The following is a 27,897-nucleotide window of genomic DNA, read 5'->3' on the forward strand; positions in this document are numbered from 1 at the left end:
TTCTCTGTCACCCAGGCTAGAGTGCAGTGGCATGATCTCAGCTCACTGCAGCCTCCGCCTCCTGGGTCAAGTGATTCTTGTGCCCCAGCCTCCTGAGTGGCTGGGATTATAGGTGCCTGCCACCATGCCTGACTAATTTTAGTAGAGACAGAGTTTTACCATGTGGACCTGGCTGGTCTTGAACTCCTGACCTCAAGTAATCCACCCACCTCGGTCTCCCAAAGTGCTAGGATTACAGGCATGAGCTACTGCACCTGGCCCAGACCCCCAGTGTTTGGAGACAGCATTCTTTTTGCCCATTCTGGATCCTGAAAGATGTGTGCAGCTTACTGTAGGAACACAAGCTGACTGCCTTGGGGGTAGTGTTGGGTAGCTGCTATTGTGCTAAGGGCCAAAATTGACTGAAATTACCTACAATTTACCATCTGGGCCTTCCTCTGGAAGTTGCAAGCCTTCAGTAGGCTCCAGAGTTCTGAAATATTTACATCTGACAGATCCTGCCCGTGCAGTTGTTGTGTAGATTCCAGGTGCTTCTCATTCCACCATCTTCCCAGGATACCCTCTGACCTTCTGGATTTTGAATTCAGTCAAGCTGTTCTCTAACAGCTGGGGTGAAAGCCAACAAAGATCCTGCTAAGAAAGCTCCCTGGAAAAAAAATGTTCAAAAGTAACACAAATATCAAACTGGAAAGAAATTGATTTAGGAACCGAACCCAGGTTGTCATGGTGAAAAAAGGAGCAGAACCTTAGCTACCGAACTGCAGCCTGGGGTATGAGGTGACAACCATCACTTTTTTAGTTTGGTTTGGCTAGCAAAGGTGGCCTTGTTATACAAATAAAGCCACTCAGGTAGTCAAAACCTTTATTTTCTGTTTTTTTTTCTCTCTCTTTTTTTTTCTTTTTGAGAAGGAGTCTTGCTCTGTCACCCAGGCTGGAATGCAGTGGCGCAATCACGGCTCACTGCAAGCTCTGCCTCCCAGGTTCATGCCATTCTCCTGCCTCAGCCTCCCAAGTAGCTGGGACTATAGGCGCCCGCCACCACGCCTGGCTAATTTTTTGTATTTTCAGTAGAGACGACATTTCACCGTGTTAGCCAGGATGGTCTCGATCTCCTGACCTCATGATCCACCTGCCTCGGCCTCCCAAAGTGTTGGGATTACAGGCATGAGCCACCGTGCCTGGCCCTATGCCTGGCTAATTTTTAAAAATTTTTTGTAGAAGCAGGGTTTCGCCGTGCTCCCCAGGTTGGTCTCAAACTCCTGAGCTCAAGTGCTCCAACCACCTTGGTCTCCCAAAGTGGTGGGATTACAGGTGTCAACCACTGCACCTAGCCTCTAAATCCATATAAATCAATTATTCACGCACTGAGCAGAATATTCAGGATTTTTTTTCTTATAATATAAATGATGTGGAAAACTGGAGAACCAAAGAAGAACACCAAGACTATCTAAAAGTGTTAAATTTTTCATTAGAAAGAAAATGACTTCATGACAGTTCTTAAGACAATGATAGAACTTGGGGAAATATGTATTCCTTGATGTTTCTATGCATTTGCAATAATAAACAATGAAAATATGGTTAAATTTTAGAAAGAGATAGGCCTGTGGTATTGTCACAAGGGTATACAAATACTGAGAATGACTGCTGAGGCAGTGCTCTCCATTGGTGGTGACCTTCAGAAGAGACCTGTGTTTCCACATGGCCTAGACACCTGGAAGGCAGAGATCCTAACATTCCATGACACCCCACCTTCTAATTCTGTTATTGTGACTCCAGACCATTACCTGGCACCGGGTCTGATTTCTGACATTCCTATCAGAGCCTGAGTCACAGACAGTACCTTAGACTCTAAGCTTAGGCACCTTGTGCCTTGTTTTTGTGGCTAAGGATTCTCAGAGTTGTAGGATGCTGACAAAGTTTATCCCAAAGGTAATTTATGAATCAGATCTGCTTTCTTTTGACTTGTTTAAACCCTTCATTTAATGTAAAGAAACTTTATTGAGGTATAATTTACATACTATAAAATTTACCCATTATAATTGTACAGTTCAATAATTTTTAGTAATTTACCCAAGTAGTGCAACCATTACCATAATCCATGCATTTGTTTTTAATTTATTAATTGTCTGGGTTTATTCTCCCTAGGCTCTGATTGTACTTTCTCCACAAGCTTCAGCATGGCAGTATCTCTCACCACTTGTTTTGGTCCAAGGGCAGAAATGAGCATCCTGGAAACCAATCAGTACTTCCGCTCTGAACTGGAAAAGTGCAAACAGAACTTCCAAGACCTCACAGAGAAATTCCTGACATCCAAAGCTACTGCCTACTCCCTGGCCAATCACCTGCAGAAATATAGTAGGTCCCAAAGGGGCATGGTCACCGAAGTGATAAATGATTGCCCATCTTTCCTCTGTGAAATGAAACACTGCGGACTTTATTCTCTATCAAAATTAATTTTATGCTAACTACACTCCCAGAAAGGTAGAAGTGGGCCTTTTACTCTCAATTTGCCAAGGACAGAAAAACTGAGGCACAAAGGTGTAAAGTTTGCAGGGCGAGTGTAGTGAGGAATAGAGACTAAAACCTCGGTTTAGGCGTGAAACTGTCTTTCCCCTCTCAGCAATGAATATCAGATTCTACAAACATGTAACATCACTGTTGGTTAAAACATCTCAGGATTCGATTTAAACTTTTTTAAGAGCGCCCATTTGCAAAGCACTGTGCCAACAGCATCAGGGGTGATAGAAGTAATAGTATACCCTATCTGCCTTGAAGGAACTTAAAACTAGCTATTCTCAACTGAGTCACAGATATGTGGAGATGTGAACTTCAATAGCAGACACGGAAAAAAGTCTTTATGATACCTGGATCAAGATTCTCTTCCCACAAAAGTTCAGATAAGCCATTCCTCATGCTCTGGTTAGATTGAGGGTATTTCCAGAAAAATCAGAGACTTTGTAACACCCTTTCTGTCTCTCTCTGAGTATCAACTTTACAGACAGCAAGCAACTGCAGGTGGACATCCAGGATCAGAGCTATGAGACATATGGCCAAAATGAGAACAAGGCCAAGTGGAACAGACTACCATTCTCAATAGAAGGCCAGGCCAGGTTAGGGGCTGGCCCCTTCCTCTCCACAGTTAGCTCTCACATTTTTAAATCCACTGTAAAATCCCAAACCTGTTACTAATAGTCAGGGAAGGGAAGCTGTAATGACAAGGAAACGTGGGAACAAGGGCATGAGAGGAACAGGGATATTAGAAGAGGATTCTTGTTAACATAGAAATTGAGTTTGTTTTCCAATTTCTACAATTATTTTAAAATACATCATTGTGGGGGGGTGGCTAAAAGTTGCTGTGTAACTTACTGTCATAGAAAAGTAAAGCCAAAAGCCCTCTTATTAAAGAAGTGAAAAGATGAGCTTTGGTGTGTGGAAAAACTAGTTTAAAAAAAAAACCTTCACTCATTATAATTGTAGGAAAAAAATTTCTCAAGCTAGAGAAGAAGAAAGATATTACCTAAGACCCTAGTATAAAGGTATTATTGTGCAGTGATTAAAGAGCATATACCCTAGGGCCAAATTTCCTGGGTTCAAATCTAACTTATCATCACTGTGCCTCAGTTTTCTCATCTGTAATGGTAATAGAATAGGAACTACCTCTTTGGATGGTGGTGATGATCATATGATGATAATTCTTAAAAACCTACTGCAACAGTACCATGACAAACACTATGTGTTGGTTCTCCCTTTAAAACACCACCTATTAGCTTTTGGGCACATATCATTTGGATCTTTCTCCTCTATATACAGTTTTACACAGCTGTATACAGATAAATGTTTAAATCTTTGAAATATTTTGGGATTATTGAAACTCCTGACACAGGAGGACCATCAGTCCTACCATTCTTAGTATCTTCCCAAACACACAGGAAGTCATTATTTCATGCCCTTATGTTCATGTTTTACTTAAGAGGCTGTAAGGCTTGGTAAATTGGCCTTAAGATTTGAAGTCATGGCTGGGTGCATTGGCTCACTTACTGCAATCCCAGTACTTTGGGAAGCCAAGGTGGGTGGATCATTTGCAGTCAGGAGTTTGAGAGCAGCCTGGCCAACATGGTGAAGCCCTGTCTCTACTGAAAATACAAAAACTAGCAGGGTGTGGTGGGGCACACTTGTAATCTCAGCTACTTGGGAGGCTGAGGCAGGAGAATAACCCGGGAGTCAGAGGTGCAGTGAGCCGAGATTGTGCCACTGCCCTCCAGCCTGGGCAAAAAAGTGAGATTCCATCTCAAAAAAGAAAAAAAAAAAGAAAAGAAAAAGATGTGGCGTCAGACCTCAGGGGATGTGAATTCTGACTGCCTCATTCCAGCTGAATCATCTTGTCAAGTGACTTTATCAGCCTGTAGGCTTTTCTTTCCTCATCTCTAAAACAGGGAGTAGTTGAGAGACTGAGGAATACAGATATGGAAATCCCAGCGTAAAGCCTGGTACTGGGGATACTTTTATCCTTGAGATAGACCCTGCCTCCTGCCCTGCAGGCAGTGACCACAGCAGCATGGCCAGCCTTCCATGATGCAGGCATGTCTATCTTTTCTCAGAGTGTGAAGAGTGCAAAGACCTTATAGAATCTGTGCTGGAGGAGGAGGTGCAGTTTCAGGAGAGGGAGCTGGCCGAATTGCCGAGGTCAGCTGCAAGGCTCCGGTAAGGAGGTACCTCTGTGGGAAGTGCATAAATACTGTTTGAAGTAGGGCAGCTCAGGCTGGTAGAACAAAGAGCAAATTTGTGCAAGGAGAAGGGCAGAAATGTATGACTCAGGCACAGAACTAGACGAAGACACAATGAGGCTATGGTCTAGTTAGGTCTCTGGGGTTTTCCATTAAATAGCATATTAGTAAAATGGAGACAGCTGTCTGCATTGGAATACTAGCAATGTGGCTTCTATTTGTGTGTCCTTGGTCAAATTTACTTCACTTTTCTGCGTGTCATTAACCTAGGCTACCTCATTTATAAAATGCAAATACTGACAGTATCTACTTAGAGGGTTATGAAGATTAAATGCACAATTGCAAGTAGTTAGAACCATCTCTAACACATATAAAACTCTGAACAACTATTTTCTGTAATTATTATATTTGTTCCCATTTATAGATGTGGTGATTGTCATTAATATTTTCTATAAGAGATATTTTCAAACTTTCCAAAGTGCCTTTCATGATAACAATGTTTCTCCTCCAAACTTTTTAAAAAAGTATTATACTAGGTGGAGTATTAACTGGTAGGGCTATTGGGTAGATAGATGATTGAGCAGCTGTTGTGTGGAAAATGAATTATTAATTCGCTCAGGACCAGCACTGACTATCCTTAGAGGGTTTCAGACATAAGGTAGATTGTAGCATTCGAAACTTCTTTTAATCCTTTGTTGAAATGAAATCATAGAAGCTCAAATTTGTAAAACTCACCAAAGCAGAGATATTTGATTGAAGGCGGGATAGGTCTGGAGCCCCTGTTTCTCCCCAGTATGTGTCTTTACTTCCCCTGACACTTTCTAGTAACTCTAAGGAATAGAGTTTGAAAGAGGACCTGCAGATAACTACTTAGAAGACTGGTGGGGAGAAAATTCAAGCATTAGATGGGTTAGATGACTGTAAATGTTCAGTCTAGCTCTGGGATTACATGGTTCTAAACATTAACTGAATAACTACTTGTATGTGTACATACTACCGGGTGCTGTAAGTTGGGTAATAGGTAGCACTATCTTTAGACTCACAGAGCTCACACTCTACATTGGAACCCATGTGTATTAGTCCACTCTGACACTGCTATAAACATATATCTGAGATTGGTGATTTATAAAGAAAAGAGGTTTAATTGGCTCATGGTTCTGTGGGCTGTACAGGCTTCTGCTTCTGGGCAGGCATCAGAAAACTTACAATCATTGCAGAAGTCAAAGGGGAAGGAGGCATGGTCTTCACATGGCCAGAGCAGGAGAGAGAGAGAGAGCAAAGAGGGAGGTGCTACACTTTCAAACGACCAGACCTCATGAGAACTCACTCACTATCATGAGAACAGCAAGGGGGAAATCCACCACCATGACCAGTCACTATCCAGCAGGTCCCTGGTTGGATTACAATCCAACATGAGATTTGAGTGGGGACACAGAGCCAAACCATATCACCATGAGAAATATTTAAACAATAATTAGAAAAAAAATAAATCCCCACAGAGTAATGAAATTACTACTCAGAACTTTACTTTTTTTCTTTTTTTGAGATGGAGTCTTACCCTGTTGCCCAGGCTAGAGTGCAGTGGTGTGATCTCAGCTCACTGCAACCTCCACCTCCCAGGTTCAAGTGATCCTCCTAGGTCAGCCTCCCCAGCAGTTGAGAGTATAGGTGCACACCACCACACCAGCTAATTTTTGTATTTTTAGTAGAGATGGGGTTTCGCCATGTTGGCCAGGCTGGTCTCAAAACTCCTGACCTAAGGTGATCTGCCTGCCTTGGCCTCCCAAAGTGCTGAGATTACAGGCGTGAGCCACTGTGCCCGGCCAGAACTTTAGTTTTAACTGCCTTCTTACTGATTATAGTCTATCTTCATGTCATTCAGAAGAACACTGCCCCTCTTGACCTTTTCACTGATTTTTCTTTTTAACTTTCAATTAATACTAGAGATACCGGCCCAACAGTTTTGAAATTGGCTTTTTTTTTTTTTTTTTCTGCCAGTTACTGCATATGAAAAGGTACTTGGGCTAAAGTGGGGAACCAAAGGGGCATCTTTTTAAAGGAAATTTAGTAAAATAACAGACAAACCCAAGGCTGCCTCTTCATTCCTTCTTCCACAGGCAAGTCACACAACTTGTACAAGAATTAATCTTGGGCCAGGTGCAGTGGCTCATGCCTGTAATCCCAGCAGTTTGGGACACCGAGGTGCATGAATCATTTCAGGTCAGGAGTTCAAGACTAGCCTGGCCAACATAGCAAAACCCCATCTCTACAAAAAATATATAAATTATCCTGGCATGGTGGTGGGCATCTGTAGTCCCAGCTACTTGGAAGGCTGAGGCAAGAGAATTGCTTGAACCTGGGAGGTGGAGGCAGAGGTGGAGGTTGCAGTGAACCGAGATCACATCACTGCACTCCAGCTTGGGCAACAGAGTGAGACCCTGTCTCAAAAAAAAAGAAAAAAAGAATTCAACTTGGGAGTTCCTTACAGGGATTCTAAGAGATCTCTCCTCTGAAACTTCTATAACCTATTATTCACTACATTCCCTCATACATTTTACTCTTCTTTCCCACCTTAGGATACATGATCCCTTAATTCAGGCTCAGGCTGAAGAACTGACCCACTTACGACAGAAGATACAGGAAGGGAGAGGTGTCTGCTACCTTTTCACCCAGCATGTGAAGAACACAGTCAAGTCTTTTGAGGGCCTTCTCAGGAACACTGACATTGCCTACTACCAGAGACAGAGATTCTGTGAGCAAATGGTACAAGGAAGCCAGCTGACAGAGATCCTTGTCAGAAAACTTGCCACAGGTAAGTTGGCTACAGGCTCTGAAGACCCTTAGCTCCTCCCAAGTGCCCCAAAGTGGGGAGAAAAAATGCAAACTTATCTCCATTATAGATTTTATTTTAGTTTTGACTATGGTCCTTAATCTGCATTCTATTGTTTTCTCTTTAGAGCACTCAGGTAATCACTTTTCATATTCTTTCAAGAATTCTAAGTTTTGTTTTTTATTTTGAGACAGAGTCTTGCTCTCTTACCCAAGCTGGAGTGCAGTGACATGATCTTGGCTGACTGCAATCTGTGCCTCCTGGGCTCAAGCAATCTTCCCACCTCAGCCTCCCAAGTAGCTGGGACTACAGGTGTGTGCCACCACACCTGGCTAATGTTTGTATTTTTTGTAGAGATAGGGTTTCTCCCTGTTGTCCAGGCTGGTCTTGAACTACTGAGCTGGAGTAATCCACCTGCTTTGGCCTCCCAAAGTGCTGGGATTACAGATATGAGCCACTGTGCCTGGCCGGAGAGTTCTTAGTTTCAATCAGTAAGAGAGGTAGAGTATAGTGGATTACTTCATCTTGATGAGCATAAGAACTCACCTTCATTTCTGGAAGATGTTTTCACTGGATGTAGGATTCTAGTTGACAGTTTTTGTTTTAAAAAAGTGTTTGAAAAGTGATATTCCACTGTCTTCTGGCTTACACTGTTCCAACAAGAAGTCTGCCATAATTCTTATTTCTGTTTCTCTGTACATAATATGTCTTTTTTCTCTGGATGCTTTTGAGATTTTCTATTTATCACTGGTTTGAAGCAGTTTGATTAAGATAAGACCTTGTATAGTTTTCTCTTTTACATATTGTTCTACTTTATTTAGTTTCTTGCATCTGCATGCTTATAGTTCTCATCAAATTTGAATAATAATGACATATATAGTCTTACCTATGGCATATACAATATATTATATTTGGCATACATACATCAAATATATATAATGTATATTCTATTCTTTCTCTCTATCTTCTCCTTCAAAGACTCCAGTTATATTTGTATTAGCTGCTTTGAAATTTTACCACAGCTGACTAATGGTCTGTTCATTTTTGTTGTATCTTTTCTTTCTCTCTGTTTCTTTCTATTTCCATGTCTTGGAATTGATTAATCTTTCTTCAGCAGCATCTAATCTGCTGTTAATCCTATCGAGTGTATTTTCATCTCAGACTTTATTTTTCATCTGAATTTAATTTATGTCTTTTTTTAAGGTCTTCTATGTATCTCTTCATCATTTCATATTTTCCTCTAGCTTCTTTATTTTATTTTATTCTATTTTTTGAGACAGAGTCTCGTTCTGTTGCCCAGGCTGAAGTGCAGTGGTGAGATTTTGGCTCACTGCAACCTTCACCTCCTGAGTTCAAGTGATTCCTGTGCCTCAGCCTCCTGAGTAGCTGGAATTACAGGCACATGCCTCCACACCCAGCTAATTTTCATATTTTTCAGAGAGACGGGGTTTCACCACATTGGCCAGGCCGATCTCAAACTCCTGACCTCATGTGACCCACATTGGCCTGGCAAAGTGCTGGGATTACAAGCATGAGCCACCACACTGGCCTAGCTTCTTTAATACAACGTATACAGTTATATTTGTTTCAATGTGCTTATCTACAGATTCTCTCATCTGTGTCCTTTTTATTGTTTTTTAATTCTCACCTGATGTGTCCTTTCTAAGTCAGTTTAAGTAGATTGATTTTTTTCCCCCTTCTTATCATGGATTACAGTTTTCTGTTTCTCTGCATTCCTAACATTATTTTATTTGGGGTTAGACATTGAGCATTGTAACTTATTGGGTGCTGGATTTTTTTGCATTTTGTGTTAACATTCTTTGAGCTTTGTTTTGGTATACAATAAAGTTACTTAAAAACAATTTTCATCTTTCCAAGCTGGCTTTTTAATTTTTTTTAGGCAGCATAAGAGCAGCTATTAGTCAACTGCTATTTTTTTTCCCACTATGGAGGCAAAATGACCTTTAAGAAAATAGACCTTATTTTTTAGAGTAGTTTCAGATTCACAGCAAAATTGAGCAGGAAGTACAGAAAGTTCCCATACACCCCCTGCCTCCACACATGCATAGCCTCCTAGACTATCAACATCTCTCTCCAGAATGGCACATTTGTTACAGTTGATGAACTTACATTGACATGTCATTATCACACAAAGTCCATAGTTTACATTGGGGGCAATACTCTTTTGAAGATTCTAAGCCAGTGATCTCCCACAGATTTGGCACCAGGGACTGGTTGCATGAAAGATAATTTTTCCACAGACAAGGTGGGGGTGGGGTGGTAGGGTTTGGGAATTGGGTGGTTTCAGTATGAAACTGTTCCACCTCAGATCATCAGGCACTAGTTAGAGTCTCATAAGGAGCATGCAACCTAGATCCCTGGCATGTACAGTTCACAATAGGGTTTGTGCTCCGATGCTAATCTAATGCCATCGTTGATCTGACAGGAGGCTGAGCTCAGGCGGTAATGCTTTCTCGCTGGCTGCTCACCTCCTGCTGTGCGGTCCCATTCCTAACAGGCCATGGACCAGTGCTGGGGGTTGGGGACTCCTGTTCTAACCAATGCTCCCTCTATTAAAAGGGATTTTCACTCTAGCTGATGGAAACACCAAGTGTTGCAAGCTATGTGTGAGCTACAGAGATTATTCCTTTTGGGAAGTTCTTTGCCCTGCTTTGCATAATTTCCTCAAATACATGTACTAATCAGTACTTAGCTGAAGATTGAAGACAGATATCCAAGGCATTCTATCTGTGCAGCAACCTATTCTCTAGTCTGTCCTGTGATGTCTAGCCACCCTGACTTCTTCAAACTTACTACCAGGCTCTGCCTGGGTCCTCCCTCCCTGCTCTACAGTTGACAATCTCAGGCAGCAAACTGGAGCAATCATAGGGCTCACCTCTTTTATTTATTATAGTACTGCACTATATCCAATGTTGAAGGTAGAGTTTAAAATACTTTTTCCAGTTTCTCAGTTGTTTAAGGTGGAGGACAAATCAGGTCCCCATTACTCCAAATTGGCCAGAAGCAGAAGTCTCCATTCCATCTTTGTGGTCAGAAAGAACAGTATGACAGAAGGCAGCTTGTTAGAATGGGAAGACCCATGGGCTAAGAATCAGCATTACCTAGGCTCTAGTCTCAGCACTGTATTTACTAACTTTGTGCAAGTGATTGATCCTTCTTGAATTTCTGTTTCCCCATTTGTAAAGTGGGTCAAATCATAATTCCACAGCTGCTGTACAGATCAGTTGAAGTAGTATCTTAATGTTCATGAGTGTATTTCTCTTTCAGGGTTATTTATTTTTTTATTTTTGGGTCCCAATAAACCGTCCAAATCTTTTGGGGTTAGTTCAGGCACTGTATATAGTAGAAGCTGGTGTTAGAAAAGTTGATTTATACTGGAATATTTTTCACAGAATCAACCCCAATGCTCACTAACAAACTGAGAAGAAAAAAAAAGAATTACCCCCAACAACATCTGAGGAAGCACAACAGGGACAGACTTGAAGGCACCTGGGCAGTCCTCTGGTTTTGGAGTAGAGGTAGGACAGGGCTATTTGTCCTCTCAGAGACTGGAGCAGGTTCTGTGTGTGAGTAGCAATGGGACAAACAGTCGTGGTCTGGCAACCAGCCTGTAGCAGGAAGGAAGGTTACAACTGGAGAAGTCCAAAGGGCAGCCAGGCAAGTATTCTTTGAGCTGGGGAACAAAAGGCATTTTAAACTTTTTGCTCTGCTTCAGGCAGCTGACGTCTGGTGATGATTCACCACATCAGGAACACCCTGTCCAGTGGGCTCAGGCAAGCCTGCCAGGCCACTTCTCTAAAGACACCACCTGAGGCCTCCTGCAATAAATCTCACAGAGTATTCTGAACATATATGTAAGGTGTTATGTCCCTGATCATATAGGGCCCATGTGTGCAATGTGTGAAATGGGACCTGCTTAATTTCTGACTAGTCTTTGTAATTTTGGTTTGCAGAAAATCACAATGGTAAGAAAAATGAAGACAGGCAAAAGCCACTGGCTCCCAGGTAACTCTATATGATGAAGGGGCTGATAATGGACTGACCAAATCTAGAGAGAATTCCAGAAGCAAGGACTCAAGAGGTTAAAGGTCCCAGATCTAGAAAAAGCAGAAACTGCTGATTGTTCTTTTTTTTGTTGACTGATTATACAATGTGTCCTTTTAAAAATGGTTCTCTGTTCTCTTTGCAGTTGTTGTATTGGTTCCTAGTTCCTAGTAATTTCTCACACTTAGTTAACCAGTCAGTCTTACCAAAAAGTAAACTAACCAGGGATCCCTGGTTTCTGTATCTTTAAAACCTATAGGGTTACAAACCAAAGTGAGATGCCTATCTGGTTTCTGCACAGTTGTCCTGAATTATGTTGGCAGATATTTTATAGCCAGAAATTAACCTTGAAAAATAAATTGAAACCATACCAAGTATTTAGAGCTAGGGGTCTAAAATCTGCAAAAGCCCTGGGAGGTTGTGTTGTCTCAAGAGCCAGTATTCAGTGGACCACTCCACATCATATTAAATAAAATTTAAACACAGCATTTTGAAGCCGACAGTATGGGTCACTGTGTGTCCTGTGTGCCCTGAGCGTATTGTAGAGTAGTTGTTGAGTCTGCTGCCTTATCTGTGTGTTATGAGGTCAATGCACTGATCACTTGCTTTTTTCACTTCTATACTAACTCTAGGCACACTTTACTCCCAGTCAAAAGTGGACTGTATACTTCCTCTTTGATGTGATGGTCCCTTTGGTTTTGGTGCCTCTTCCATGAGCTTCAGATCAGAACTAGCTATGTGGTTCCAGGCTGCCTTGGTTTAATCCCTTGTCTTGCCTACTTCACCTGGCTCAAGAGGGAAGTCCAGGAGGAAGAAATGGATGAAGTCCTGGAGGACTCACTAGATGAACAGTATTTGACTCATTCCAGCTGCCATGACTCCCACCAGCTTCCCAGCAGCAATGCCTTCCTCTTTGATGCACAGGAAGGCCCCTTGGCTGTGGAAATAGCCAGTAAGTGCTCCTTTGATAAGAAAAATAAAGCTCCATCAATCTCTCAGTAGCTCCTACATTCTACATGCTCACCACCTCTGTCTAAACTGAGAGATGTTATTCTCTGCAGGCAGGCCCTAAACATTCACTTTAAAAAACTGATTAGGCTGAACACAGCTCTGGGATCAACTCTCAAGTACAGGTCCCTGGTGGGTCAGGTAATTTGCTCTGTTCCTGTCCTCACCTCAGTCCCTCTGGTCCAGACCGGCATCTGCAAGCCGGTATACTCAAAGCAGGCCAGAATGGAGAGAGTGAAGAGATTATGGCAGACTCTCTGCCACTACTGCCGCGCATGTACAAATCTGTTTAACAGATCTTCTTCTTTAAAATGGGACATCTCATCTTTCCTGAAATATATATATTTTTTGAGACAGGGTCTCTTGTTCTGTCACCCAGGCTAGAGTGCAGTGGCATGATCTTGGCTCACCACAACCTAAAACCCAGGGTCAAATGACCCTCCCACCTCAGCCTCCTGAGTAGCTGAGAACACAGATGCATGCCACTACTCCTGGCTATTTTTTTTGCCTTTTTGGTAGAGATGGGTTCTTGCCTTTTTGCCCAGGCTGGCCTCAAATTCCTGAGCTCAAGCAATTCACCCACCCCTGCCTCCCAAAGTGCTGGGATTACAGATGTGAGCCACCGCACCCAGCCTTCCTGAAATATTCTTGATAATTATAGTTCCTGAACAGTTTTCCCAAGCTGTTCTAGCCATCCCAAGAATGTTGGCAGGCTTGTCCATATGTTTGGAGGTGCAATTATAATGGTTCCTGGGTTTCAAGCTCCAGTCTCCATCTCCCCTCAGGTGCTTGCTTTCCCATAAGGTTCCATCTGACTACTGGAATATCAGGGGATTTCCATAAAGACAAGACTTTGATCTTGGCAACCCTTTGGTAAATAGCCAGGGTTCTCAATCTTTGTGCAGCACCAAGGTATTTTTAAGATGTCTGTTAGTTTCGTCTCAGTGTTGTAATTCAATCTAAATAAACAACGAGGCTATCTGCTGGAGAAAAGGCTGAATCTAAGAGCAATGCCACCAGCATGCCCTCTTCCCAGAATAGCTCCACGCTAGCCATTGGAGCTTCTTTAGGTATATAAGAGCCCTTTAGGTTGGTAGCCTCTCTGGTGTGTGTATAGATTAAAACCTTGACCTATATCTCCTCTCCCTTACTTGAATGTTTGACTTTACTTTGGGGGCAAAAGTTTGGATTGTTAGGAGACTATATGCTTTGTATACTCTTCTATGCAATAAAAAGAGATTATATTAATTCACTCATTGAGCTTTCACAGTAATATAAACCATATTAGGCTTGTCATTCTGTCAGTGATGGGTGTAAGTTTGTGGCTTTAATTAGTCATACCATCTTCTGACAAAGGCATCCTTATTTCTCTTTCCAATTTCACAGTAAGGTGCAGAAGAAGGTCTTTACCATCTGTTAAAGATGTTCAGGGCCGGGCACGGTGGCGCACACCTATAATCCCAGCCCTTTGTGAGGCCTAGGTGGGTGGATCACTTGAGGTCAGGAGTTCAAGACCAGCCTGGCCAACATGCTGAAACCCCGTCTCTACTAAAAATGCAAAAATTAGCCAAGCATAGTGGTGCACGCCTGTAGTCTCAGCCACTTGGGAGGCTGAGGCATGAGAATCCTTTGAACCTGGGAGACGGAGGTTGCACTGAGCCAAGATGGTGCCTCTGCACTCCAGCTTGGGTGACAGAATGAGACTCTGTCAAAAAACAACAACAAAAACAAAATATGTTCAGGAGAGATATTTTGTAGAGAGGAAGATATTCCCTAGTACCTATAAGTCATCTCAAGGAGGTGGTCATACCTTTTCTAGTGCTAGAAAAGCCCTACTCAGAGACCTTCAGTGTTTTCCCACCTCCTGTCAACCTGCCTTATACTTCCCATATCTCCATGTGGGAGGCATCCCTGTGGAGTTTGCTTAGCACTTGGCCATGCTTTCTTTGAAACCTTAAAAGCTCTTAAAGGAAGTTGCCTTATGTTCCCTGATGAGAAGATGAAGTTGGCAAAAGAATGGTGAAAGGCAGGGATCTTGACGAGAGACCCCTGACTATCCCTTTAGTGATCAGTATCTTCACTTCCCATCTCATTCCATGTCCTGGTGGAATGGCTGCAGAAGATGAGATCCAGAGCCAGTGGCAGCACCTGAAGGAGACCCTTTTCATCAACAACTGCCTGTGAGAAAAGCTAGAACGTCATCACAGCAGCTTTGATGAAGAAAATGGTAGGAGAGGCCCAAGTCAGCCTGCTTCTGGCAATATGTATTTTTCTAAAGGCATGTGACTGGGGCAGAGTTTTATAGATTTCAAGCACTTTGACATACTTTACTTCACTTATTCATTACAAATGTCCCAGCTAGAGAGGCAGGGCAGCTACTATCATTCCTATTTATAGGTAAATAAATAGGCTTAAAGATTTGCCTTCATCTTAGAGGTATCTACCTCTAAAATCATTCTTGTGATTCCTAAGCTGTCTGCTGTCTTCTGTCTGCTGCTGTACACTGCCTGCTGTCTCTCTGCTTCTTATGTGATTGGCATTCAGTAGAACCCAGGTTTCTGAGCACCTCACATAGCAGAATGAGAGTCTCCTCTGCTGCCATCCTCATCAGCTTCCCTTATGTCTTGGTGACTCTTCATTCTACCACCCCAAGGTGGTTCTCTCCAACCCCCCTCCTCTTAGATTGTTCTCACACAGAGGCCATCATTTCATAACATTGTGCTGGGCCAGAATAACCATAAGCAGGTCCCTTCCCATACCAAAGCAGTAACTATTTTGGAAAAGCCTCCTTCATATTGCAGCCATTGGACATGATAATACATGTGATGTGCTGGCATTTGTTGAGAATCATGTGAAAATTAAGCTTCCACCCCATCACACTAACGTTCCAGCCCTCCACGGTTTTCTCCCTAGGCTAAGATAGAGAGGAAGAACATGAAATGTGCAGAAAGCATTCTCTTAAGCAAACGTGTATAACTTGCATAAATTGTAATTATTTCCTGGAACAGGATGCACCTCTAACCTCTACAGGCAAATCATAGATTCCATTGTCCAGCTGTATAATGAAAACAGAGTTCTCAGAGAAGAATACCGGAGACTCCCCCGACTTGCCTGAATCAAATTTCCAGAGGTAAGTGGTGAAAGGCCACAATATGAAGTCACTCTCAGATGGGTCTCTTCTCTTGCCACACTCCACTGTAGAAATAAAAGAGGACGGGGAGGCCAGAGCTGCTCAAAACCTTATAACCCACAATTCTCATAGTTACTCTCAACTTAGAGAGGGCTGCTTTCTAGACACACCCCCTCCAGGCCCCCAGACTGCCAGGCTCCAGGAATAAGTAGCTCTAAGAAATACAGTATTTCAGTGTGAGCCACACCCCACTATTGCAAATTGGAGAGGAGAAGGACAAACTTAAAAGGTGAAAAGATTTAACAGAACAACAGGGTGAAACCCCATCTCTAATAAAAATACAAAACTTAGCTGGGCGTGGTGGCATGCACCTGTAGTCCCAGCTACTCAGGAGGCTGAGGCAGGAGAATCATTTCAACCCAGGAGGCAGACGTTGCAGCGAGCCAAGTTTGCGCCACTGCATTCTAGCCTAAGTGACAGAGCATGACTCCATCTCAAAAAAAAAAAGAAAAGAAAGACAGAAAAGATTTAAGAGAACAATTATTTTAATTGAATACATTTTGTCAAGATTAAATCAACTTTCCCCTAGAATACTGAAAGAATAAGCAATCATAATTTAGATTCTAAGTTACTGGACTTTGAGAAAGTGTGAAATCCAAAAAGATGCCATGAGCCAAAAAAGAGCAAAAGTCCTAATTTTCAAACTGATGAAAATAAAGTACTAAATAATTGAAATCATCGTAGTTCATCTTGGTCCTTGGCAAAATAAAAATTTATTGATTGAAATTATAATATCCTAGCTACCTTATTGTGCCTAGCTCTTACCACTGAGGAGAAAAACCAAACGCAAACAAAAGTATGTTCAAATTGGCAAAAATGTTTACAAACCTGCAAAATCTCTTCAGCCTATCCCTTAAACTGCAGGCTTGGTATTTACTAAGCTCTGTTGTGTACAATACCCACCTTAATATCCATTCTTGCACAAGTTCTGTTAGGTATAAGCCAAAATCACATGGGATTTTTTTTTTTTACCCTCTCATGCCTATGTTTGCTTTTGCTTCCAAAGACCCTTCTGAGTAAGGACTGTCCTCAGACTACTGGAGTCACTTAGTCACAAGCTTGCCTGAGGCTCAGAGCTGGCAATACCTGGCAGTTTATGTCAATCCCACATGCAACCCTGCCTGCAAAGTATTTACCCATGATTGACAGGTGCAGGTGTATGAAAGCCCAGCTCCTTGACTTGAGGGGTGCGTTTGTGGTGAATTAGCTTTGGGAAAAGGGAATCCAGAGGCCAACTTTGTAAAAATCCAGATAGGTAAATGGAGAGAAATCTTTGCCTTGGAAGTCCAATTGAGAAAGATAGTGATTTACTTCGGACTGTGAAAAGAGAGACTAAAATCTTTACTTTCTCATGGGAAAGAAGCCTATGGTGAAAGAGAAACAAAGAAAATGGTGGGAAATAGGATAGGTCTACTCAGTAGCTTTAAACCATTCTGTCATATTATAAAGCCTGGTAAGGTTTTAACTAACACAAGTGCCTGGACTCTACACATAGAGATTCTGATTTAAATGCTTCCAGGTGGGTGGAAGACACTAGTAGTCTTAAAAAGCTCCCAAGTAATTTTAACATGTAGCTAAAGATGAAAAGGACAATCTATCTACTAGAATGTCAAGTCGCCAGCATAGGAGTGTCCCAAATGTGCAGCTACCTCATAGAAAAGGCTTAACCCCATCCATTGATGGAATTTGCCTTCCTCTCTCCATGGTCTTGTTTGCATAGCATGGAAAAAAAGAGAAGAGAAAAAGAGGTAGATGGATAGATTGAACCTATAATTTGCCTATGTGGAGCAGTTTCTCAAACTTTTCTGACCACAAGATACAGTGAGAAATACACAATTCTTTGTGATCAGTTTTTAAAAAATCTTTTATTATGTGTAATCCACCCTTCCTGGTATTTAAATAAAGCCTGTAGTAGTAAGCAGTCCACTATATTGATTTCACAACCCATAAGTTGTTCAGAATTGCAATTAGAAAATTTTTAATTTTGGCCAGGCGTGGTGGCTCGCACCTGTAATCCCAGCACCTTGGGAGGATCACCTGAGGTCGGGAGTTTGAGACCAGCCTGACCAACATGGAGGAACCCTGTCTCTACTAAAAATTAAAAAAAAAATTTTTTTTTAATTAGCTGGGTGTGGTGGTACCTGCCTGTAATCACAGCTACTTGGGAGGCTGAGGCAGGAGAATTGCTTGAACCCTGGGGGTGGAGGTTGTGGTGAGCCAAGATTGTACCATTGCACTCCAGCCTGGGCAACAAGAGCAAAACTGTCTCAAAAAAAAAAAAAAGAAAGAAAGAAAGAAAAAAAAAGACAAAGAAAGAAAGAAAAAGACAAAGAAAGAAAGTAAGAAAGAAAGAAAATTTTTTTTCACTTTTGCTCAGCCTTTTTATCAAGGAAAATCCCAAAAGAACATTTACTGTAAAAGAACATTGACTATAAACATCTTTCTGTGAATCCTTATTTCTGTCCCAGCCACCATGACCCAATAATCTCTAAAACCTGTTAGTGTTCTCCAGATTGAAGCCTTCCGTCTAACTGCTCCTAAATCTGTGATGTAGTGGAAAAGGTTTGAGGCCTTGATTCTCATCCCAGGTTTTTCACCTACAGATCATATGGCCTTAGCCTCTTGACACCATTGTCTCCTTATGGCCAAAGATGGAACTGTACTTGGGTGGTATCTGAGCACCCTGTTGGCTTTGACATTCTAGGGCTCTTCCCTTGGCACCACTCTCTTATTTAAAAGGAATAGGATGTGGACTTACAAGGGTTATTTCTCTGCAAACTATCCTCTCTTTCTTATGACAAGCTATTTCTGAATGTGCACATTTGAGGCTAAGCAAATCCCTTCCTGGGAGGTGTGAAAGACCTTTATTTCTCTCCAGAGGAGTATTATGGAGGTGGTAGAGACCTAGCTAACTCATCTGCAGTGGCTTTGAGCAAGGCTTTTAGAGCCATAAGGTGGCTGGGGTCCTGTGTCCTACACCACAGGCCAGCTAGTTCATTTCAGGAGACTTTCTTTTCAATCTATTATTACTATCTTCTTCTAGACTGTAGTTCACTACCAGAGATTATCCACTTAGCTGCACTCAGTTTGCACCTGGCCTGTATCACCACTTAGCTCTCACTCTAGCCTCAGTTAGGTATCAGCAAGACCTCACCAAAGATTATTGTTTCGTTGTATGTGTGTGTGTGTTTTTGTTTGTTTCAAGTAGCAACTAATGTTGGAACTATGGAAAGTTCTTCTCTACTTTTAACAAAGCTTAGTCACAAACAGTTCCCCAGTTGATGAGAAAAACTAAAACAACAGAACAATTGAAAGTCCAAATCTGAAAGCTCCATCTCTGAGAAGCAAATTTTATAGCCACTCCAGATTTGTATTCCAAATGGATAGTTTGATTGTAGAAATCACATCCCTTCAGTCTGCAAATGTGATAACTGCCCAAGAGACAGTGATGCCTAGATCCATAAATAATCCCCTTTCCCCCAACCTATATATAACTGGAGTCAACAGCAGCTAGAGGAAAATGGCAAGGACTTGGAATCAAGATTAAGTTAGAATAACACTGCTGTAGACTGTTTATCAGCTCTTCAGCATATGTCCATTTTCCTTGAAGGATAAGCCTTTAGAAACCTCTGACAATAAAGTTTATTTTACACACATTCTCTTGCCTATGATTTTTTTGTACAAAGCACAATTACAAAACTTTCTTGCTCCAGCTAAAAGCAGGAAACTCAGTCACAAATGTGTTCACTACATGTATACCACAGAATGATAGCAGCCAGTCTGAATGCATCACTTGATTCCAAAATTAAATGTTAGCACTCAGTAGTGAAACTACATGTATCTCCAACTCTGGAAGCCCCAGGCAAGATACTCCTGTTTCCTGCAGGGAAACAGATCTATAAGCAGGGCAGCAGTCTCACACATGTACATTCCTGGGAAACCCAAGGAAACAATGGTAGTGACGCAGGGCAGGCGAACCTCAAAACTGGTTTGTAGCCTGAGAAATTTCTCCCAGACTGTAGTTTCCTTGGCTTTGCCAAGGAAAGAATTCAAGGTCAAGCCGCTGGTGAAAGAAAGCAACTTTTATTGAACTGGTGCTGCTACTTGCAGAGCAGGGCTAACCCATAGGCAGTGTGCCCAGAGTTGGTGCCTGTGGGCTGCTAGCTAGTTGTATTTAGACCCACTTTTAATTACATGCCAATTAAGAGGTAGGTTATTCAGAACTTTCTGGAAAAGGGGCAGGGAGTTTCTAGAACCGTATAAAGTAACTTCCAGGCCATTGCCAAGGTGTGTTGCCATGACATTTGTAAACTGGCCATGGTCCCAGTGGTAGTGTCTTTATGCTCATAAGTAGTGAGAGCAACTAGAGGTCACTTTCATCATCATCTGCTGGTTTCAGCAGGCTTCTCCACTGCACCCTGTTTTGACCAGATCCTGCTCTGTTCAATGGGGTTGTGACTGGAAAATAAGTCTTTCTGGTCTCCTACCTCATTTCCCCATCAGAGATTATATACTCCTCCTTAATCTTAAGGGGCTTGCAGAAGGGTGCAGGTTCATCTTCTGTAACTGCTTCCTGCTGATGTTATGGGCATAGACTCTGCCTAGCACTGGAGAAGTAAAATCTCTGGATACCTGTTCTAAAAGACCCAAAGGCAGGATGTCTTTATTTTCTGGGTCAGAAGAGGGGATGGGTTGAAAGCCTTGTGCCAGCATCATCTTTACATGGAATTATTGTAATCTAGAAGACACAAACTTTACAAGGAGGTTAAACAAGCAAGGACCAAAGATTAGTAATAACAAGATATCTGTTAAAGGTCCTAGGAAGGGTAAAAATCAAGTGTCTGCTGGTAGAGATTCCTTTATTGAATTCCATCAGCAGGGCAAAGCGGTAAGAGAGAAAATATTATAATTAGGAGTAAGAGAAAAACTTTCATGCTCATCCACAGCATCATGTTATTAATATTTATCTGTGCATTTGCAAAACAATAGCTTTAAGTCTTCTGGGAGTTTGCAAGTATAGGTCATGGTATCTTCCTCTGACATCTGTGAGGACTCATAAGAATCTTTGAGGCTGGGCACAGTGGCTCATGCCTGTAATCGCAGCACTTTGGGAGGCTGAGGCAGGCATTTCACAAGGTCAGGAGTTCAAGACCAGCTTGGCCAACATGGTGAAACCTCATCTTTACTAAAAATACACACACACAAAAAAAAAAATTAGCCAAGCCTGGTGGCACGTGCCTGTAATCCCAGCTACTCAGGAGGCTGAGACAGGAGGATTGCTTGAACCCAGAAGGTGGAGGTTGCAGTGAGCCGAGATCGAGCCATTGTACTCCAGCCTGGGCGACAGAGCAAGACTTCTTAAAAAAAAAAAAAAAAATTAACTTTGGAGTTTAACAGCAGTGGGAGTGTTTAATAATGCCTGATAGGGGCCCTTTCTATTTTGGTTGTAATTGATTCTTGGGGGATCCTTCTTTCTAAGTTTTTAGTAAGACTAAGTCTCCTGGTTGAATGGGGGAGTTAATCCTTTTCCTTGTGGGAGGTTACGTTTCATTTCCATATTTTGAACCTGGCCTAAGTTGATAATCTATGTGTCTCTTCATCAAACAGAAGGTCTAAAGTTAAAAAGGGCCTTCCGAGCTGCTCAGGCGACCCAGTGCTCGGTTGGCCCGGGCCGCGCTTAACTGTCCCAGGTCAGTTAAGCCCATGGGAGCCCAGGTCATGGGGCAGCCAGGGCCTCTGCAGTGTGAGGCGCCGGTCTGCGGGCGGGCAGGCGGGAGGCTTAGGGTGGGTCGCGGTCGCGGCCCCCGCCGCAGGCCCTGGCGGCGGCATCGTGAACATAGACGTGGAGTTCCACATCCGGCACAACTACCCCTGGAACAATTTGCCGGCCAATGTGAGGCAGTCATTAAGTGGAGATAGCTCATCATGGAGGTCTTCATCTTTGTCTTCACATCAAGTAGGCTGAGGAGGAGGAAATACAGGAAGTATTGGTCCTGCTGTTCAGAGTGGCAGAGGAGAAAGAAAATCCCAGCCGTGTTGGAAATTCACAGAGAGAATATGAAAATCAGGTTGTCCTGTACAGTATCTGCAATCAGTTACGATACAGAAATAACTTAAACATGTCAAGAAAGATGAACGCGGATACTATGAGGAACTGCTAAACTACAGCCGAGATCATCTCATGCTGTACCCTTACCGTCTATTGGATATTATGGTGAAGGGCTTCAGCATAACACCATTTTCATATTACACTGGGATTATGGAGAATATTATGAACAGTGGGCACAATTTTACTGCTGCTGACTGTCTAAGGCTTCTTGGCATAGGAAGAAACCAGTATATTGATCTTATGATTCAGTGTAGATCATCAAAAAAATTCTTCAGAAGGAAAACAGCCGGTGATCTTCTACCAATAAAGCCAGTGGAAATTGCCATAGAGGCATGGTGGGTGGTGCAGGCTGGATATATCACAGAAGATGACATCAAGATATGCACTTGGCCTGAGAAATGTGCTACTGATAAGACCGTTGATTCAGGCCCTCAACTCTCTGGATCACTAGATTACAATGTAGTACATAGTTTGTATAAAAAAGGATTTATTTATCTGGATGTACCAATGTCTGATGACAGTTGTATAGCAGTTGCACCCCTTGAAGGTTTTGTAATGAATCGAGTGCTTATTTTGATTATTTTGAAACTCTACTCTATAAGATATTTGTTTCAGTAGATGAGCACACAAATGTGGCAGAGCTTGCAAATGTCCTTGAGATTGACTTATCCCTGGTTAAGAATGCTGTTTCAATGTATTGCTGATTGGGCTTTGCCCATAAGAAGGGACAAGTAATAAATTTGGATCAACTTCATTCATCATGGAAGAATGTTCCATCCATAAACAGATTAAAGAGTACCTTAGATCCATAGAAGATGCTCTTGTCATGGGGTGGAGGGGAAAGTAGGAGGCCTGTACAAGAAGCTTCATCGGCAACTGACACTGATACAAATAGTCAAGAAGATCCAGCTGACACAGCCAGTGTAAGAAGCCTGAGTCTGTCTGCAGGACACACGAAGCACATCGCATTCCTGTTTGACTCCACTCTTACTGCCTTCTTAATGATGGGAAATCTTTCACCAGTTCAGAGCACTGGTGAAAGAGAAGCACAGAGATATTTTGAGCATGCGCTTACTCTGAGAAACACAACACTGTTTCTGCGTCATAACAAAGATCTAGTTGTGCAAACTGCACAGCCAGACCAACCCAATTATGGTTTTCCTCTGGATCTCTTACGCTGTGAAAGCCTTCTTGGTCTGGACCCTGCAACTGGCAGCAGAGTTCTAAACAAAAATTACACACTGCTTGTTTCCATGGCTCCCCTCACCAATGAAATCCGGCCTGTCAGCAGCTGCACCCCTCAGCATATTGGACCAGCTATCCCAGAAGTCAGCTCTGTCTGGTTTAAACAGTACATTTACGTTTATCATATCACTGGACAAGGACCACCATCCCTTTTATTATCCAAAGGTACAAGACCTCGAAAACTGCCAGATATATTTCAGAGTTACGATCGATTGCTAATAACATCTTGGGGTCATGATCCTGGAGTAGTTCCTACCTCAAATGTGCTCACGATGTTGAATGATGCTTTAACACATTCTGCAGTTTTAATTCAGGAGCATGGTCTGCATGGGATAGGAGAAACTGTCCATGTCCCATTTCCATTTGATGAAACAGAACTACAAGAAGACTCGTGTCAATATGGGTGTTCATAAAGCATTGCAGATACTAAGGAACAGAGTGGACTTACAACATCTCTGCGGATATGTCACCATGTTGAATGCTTCCAGCCAACTTGCAAATAGAAAACTCAGTGATGCTTCTGATGAGAGAGGAAAACCTGATTTGGCTTCTGGCTCAGATGTTAAATGGGAGTACAGAGTCATTTGAAATGGTCATTGAAGAAGCAACTATAGATTCAGCAACAAAGCAAACCTCTGGTGCCACAACAGAAGCAGATTGGGTTCCTCTCGAGCTGTGCTTTGGAATTCCACTGTTCAGTTCCGAATTAAACCGGAAAGTATATAGAAAAATTGCTACACATGGCCTTTGCAGAAAAGAGAGCCTTCAAAAACCTCTTACATTCCAGTAGAAAACTCTCTCTGCAAGTCCTTAACTTTGTTCACTCATTCCAGGAAGGTGCTTCAACATTGGATATTCACACAGAGCCCAGTTTTTCAAGTTTGCTTTCACAGTCATCGTTTGCTGACATGGGTGTTCCACTTCCTGCAAAAAATTTAACATTTAAAGATAGTGTCTTATCAGAACGGAGTGGATGGTCACCTTCCTCACTTATTGCTAATCTCCATTTGCAATAATTTGGTTACACCATTTGCTGCTCACACTTTCTGCCTTTTTTCTTTCTTAACGTTAGCTTTATAGTGTCAGCCACTAAAAAGCATCCTGCTGCTGCGGAGCAATTCTTGCTTTACTAATATTAAAAGTTTGGGGAACATATTCATGTTTTCTGAAGTTTTGCTCCTTATTGCACATCTTATTGCAACAAAGTGCTTTTTAGCATCCAGCACTGTATTTTTTTACCTTGAGACAATCTGCATTTCTTTTATAAAACTAAGTATATACTTTATAGGCTTTATGATGACTGTTATGTTTAAAAGCAGTCACTGTGAAAATTGCAATGATAATTTTATATGTTAGTTTATCAAACATCAATCTTGTTTAACTTTATATTTTGTTACCTATACTTTGGGGGATCAAGGGAAGAGATGGAACTCTTCCTCTGAAAATGCTTCTTGGTACTTAAAGTAGTAAAACTATAAAACAGTAAACATCCAGTATTGGGAGATGATATGATAGGGCATTATGAATTCCTATGGGTATCTAAATTATGTATGTCAGTTGGACATTGTAGAAGGTATGTAAATCATCATGGTTATGTATAACTTAACCTTGATTTATAAGGTCTTAATTCAGATTATGACTATTCGTTGACATCTCATGAGAAGCTTTAGAAAACTTTCTATTTTTAAACACCATTTATATGTGGACTTCTGTTGTCACTGACTTTGGGCTTTATATTTTCACAGAGTCTTTATGGAAAAAGTAGAATTTATTTTCCACTCTTGTAGCTATAGCTGCTGCACATTTTCACCCTGATTTATTTTTTTGTTTCTTACCTTTGATGTTTTCAAACCAAGGATTGTGATTTTAGGTTAGAATTACATATTAGAAGCATTAAGACTATGTCTTTGGATCAGAATGCTTTAGTGATTAACCTACTTTGAAGACATACTCTTAAGCAATCTGGATCTTAAATTTATGTGAATACATTTTTAGAAAATGATAAAGAAAAATGGAATTACTTCAAAGTGTTTCTTGAGTCATTGATTCTTTTAGCATCTCAAATGTTAATTAGAATAATTGGAATCACTTTTTAGACTTTTCAAGTTACCTTTCTTGGGAAGTTTGTGTAGTGTTAACAGTTTAGTTTAGCTCCTCTTATAGGGCAATGGTTTGCTAGTTTAAAACTGTAACCAAATGAACTGGTCAGACAACTCATATCTAAAACACTTAAAATGTTAGAACGTTTGGGAATGTTATAACCTAAGCGTTTTTGCTGATAACTTTTTGTTATTTATAGACATTTGTGTATTTAACATACTTACTTCTGGAAATATATGCCTTTCCTAAAACTTAACCACACATCCACTACCATGGCCTATGTATAGAATTGAATATTTTGGACCATGTTATCTGTGGCACAGTCAGTGCTGTGTTTGAGGTAAATGCAGTAACGGTTAGTTTTCTACTTTGCCTTATAAAAGGTAGAAACCATGTGTATGTTATGTTTGTCTATAAAAGAAAAATACTAATATTAAATTATTTCTTATGACTGTGAGTCACTCACTTATTTTTCCAATAATTGATATTGTACATTCTTAGTGCCATTAGGTATGTATGTATGTAACTTTTACAGTTTTTCAGCTGAAAGTTGTATTTTTTTTTAATCAGGGCTCTTTAATCTCATTTTAATTTCCTTTGTTTGAATGAACTGTAGTTATTTTCTGTATTCCTATATTAACCATCTAAACCAACTGTAATGACACGTACACTAATAAAGAATTGAACATTTGTATTTGTTGGCAGTGAGCCCAGTTGTTGGTGAATTTAAAGCTTAAAATATGGGAGTGATTTGCTGCTATATTTCTTTTGAGAGATAAAGGAGGAAGAAATGGAACCTAATGGTAATCATGAATTTTAGGGAAAGTACTGAAAAACCATGGGGTCCCCTCTGGTTTCTTGTGTTGAATGAGGCAAGAGTAATCATCTGATTCTGAGCTGAAGACCTCTCATACTCTCAAGGAGGGAGAGTGCATTTTTAGAGCTTTTAGCAAAAATGTGAAAAGTTCATGTTTGCACGTTGCTTTGTGAATTTGGCTTCCTTTTACTTATACATTAACTCATGTAATGTCTTAAATCTTACAAGTATTGATCCATTTCAACAAAAAGGTAAATTTAAAATGCAGACTTTGTTACTTGCCAAAGAAGATTCATGAAAAATTTATATCCAATTATTTTCCAAATAGTTAATTTAATTTGGCTTTTTACCACATTCCTTCCTTTCTTTCCCGACTTCTTTAATGTAATTTAAATCCTGGAAAACATTCTTTAGAAACCAAGAGGAAAAGAAGAACACATACCAAAAAAGACATATAACTTAAAATGGTACATTTCACATCTAAAATGGGTTTGAAGAAACGCAACTTTATATCATTAAAAAATAAGATCATCTGATTTCCTTTATTTCTTTTTTAAATTATGTAATCAGATGATTTTATATTTTTTGGGGGGGGCGGAATATTGGTTTCTTTTACTTGATGTTTTCAGTTTTCTCTGGCATTCAAGTTTCTTTTTTGTGTTCAGTGTTTCAAATACAATTTGTATTTAAGGATTTTAAAATACCAAACTGTAAATGAGTACAGTGGATCTTTTTCTGTTAGGATGTTAATATTATACAATGAAATCTATAAAGTGTTGTCAATTTGATCATTGACACATATGACATGTTTACAATTAAACTGTGGTGTTGATCAAGTTAAAAAAAAGGCGGAGGCCTTCCATAAGTCATTTCAAATGGACTAAGCTTTAAAGTTCTCTTTGGAGCCATCCTCATATGCAAAAGGGCTATGAGTAGGAGGAAAACTCAGGCCTCTGAGGTCTCCTGAAAGAGTTTTGCTAATGTCACAACTGGCTTTCTATGTTATCTGAAGATTGAGATCTCCATGAAGAGTGAAGATAGGTAATGCTTAAGGCTGAGGCATTACCTCACTGGGTCACCTTAGCTGGGAAGGGAGGTCAGTTATCCCCTTGCAAACATTTTGGTAATCCAAATCTTGGGATGATTTCTTTAAGTAAGAATTTAGACACTTCCAATACTTTTCTTGTCCTTGTGGGGAAAGCTTCTATCCACCTGGTGAAAGTGTTTATAAATACTAGCAAATATTGTAGTCCCCTGTAAGGTGGCATCTGGGTTAAATCTGTCTGCCAGTCTTCACTATGGTATGTTCCGTGGTGTTGTACAAGTTTAAGCAGGGAGTGGGGTATGGGGTGGCTTCCTGATTGGTAAATCTTTTTATAGATTAGAACAGTCCCTTCCCCAAGAATATTTAGGAAACTAATTTGAATGGAAAATCCTGTCCCAAATGTGAGGAATCATGAAAATGTTAAATTATTTCCCATTTGTCAGCCTCAGGAATAGAGTTTGTTCTTTTCTAGCAAGCGTCTAGAGGGGTCTTACTGGAAGCCTTTTACTCAGTCCCTTTAATTTCCTTGGGTGTATAGTACGGTTCCACTGACATGGATGACCTGGTAGTAGCGCAGCAGCCTGAAATACCAGGGTTTCCTTAGCTGTGGCCTTAGCTGCTCTTTCCAAAAGGGAATTTCCTCTAATAAGAACAGTGTCTCCCTTCTGGTGTCCCCTGCAGTGAATACTTGTTATTTCTTTGGGAATTGGATGGCATCTAAAAGTTCCAAGATCTGAGTAAAGTTGTATGGGGGATCCCTTGGC

The 27,897-nt window shown here is 41.2% G+C and overlaps 1 long non-coding RNA gene and 1 pseudogene across 1 annotated transcript in view; both read left to right on the forward strand.

Annotated features, from left to right (window-relative positions):
• Positions 1–25,970, forward strand: part of LINC00869 (long intergenic non-protein coding RNA 869) — a 72,512-nt gene extending 46,542 nt beyond the window's left edge. The window contains exons 3-9 of the long non-coding RNA NR_111950.1: positions 2,146–2,355; positions 7,301–7,536; positions 7,749–7,866; positions 10,968–11,093; positions 11,529–11,580; positions 15,636–15,757; positions 21,778–25,970. This is a non-coding gene — a long non-coding RNA (long intergenic non-protein coding RNA 869). The remainder of the gene's footprint in view (positions 1–2,145; positions 2,356–7,300; positions 7,537–7,748; positions 7,867–10,967; positions 11,094–11,528; positions 11,581–15,635; positions 15,758–21,777) is intronic.
• FAM91A2P (family with sequence similarity 91 member A2, pseudogene) lies at positions 21,587–26,928 on the forward strand (annotated as a pseudogene).

The sequence above is a fragment of the Homo sapiens genome, chromosome 1 (assembly GCF_000001405.40).
Source record: "Homo sapiens chromosome 1, GRCh38.p14 Primary Assembly".
In the NCBI taxonomy this organism is placed as follows: domain Eukaryota; kingdom Metazoa; phylum Chordata; class Mammalia; order Primates; family Hominidae; genus Homo; species Homo sapiens.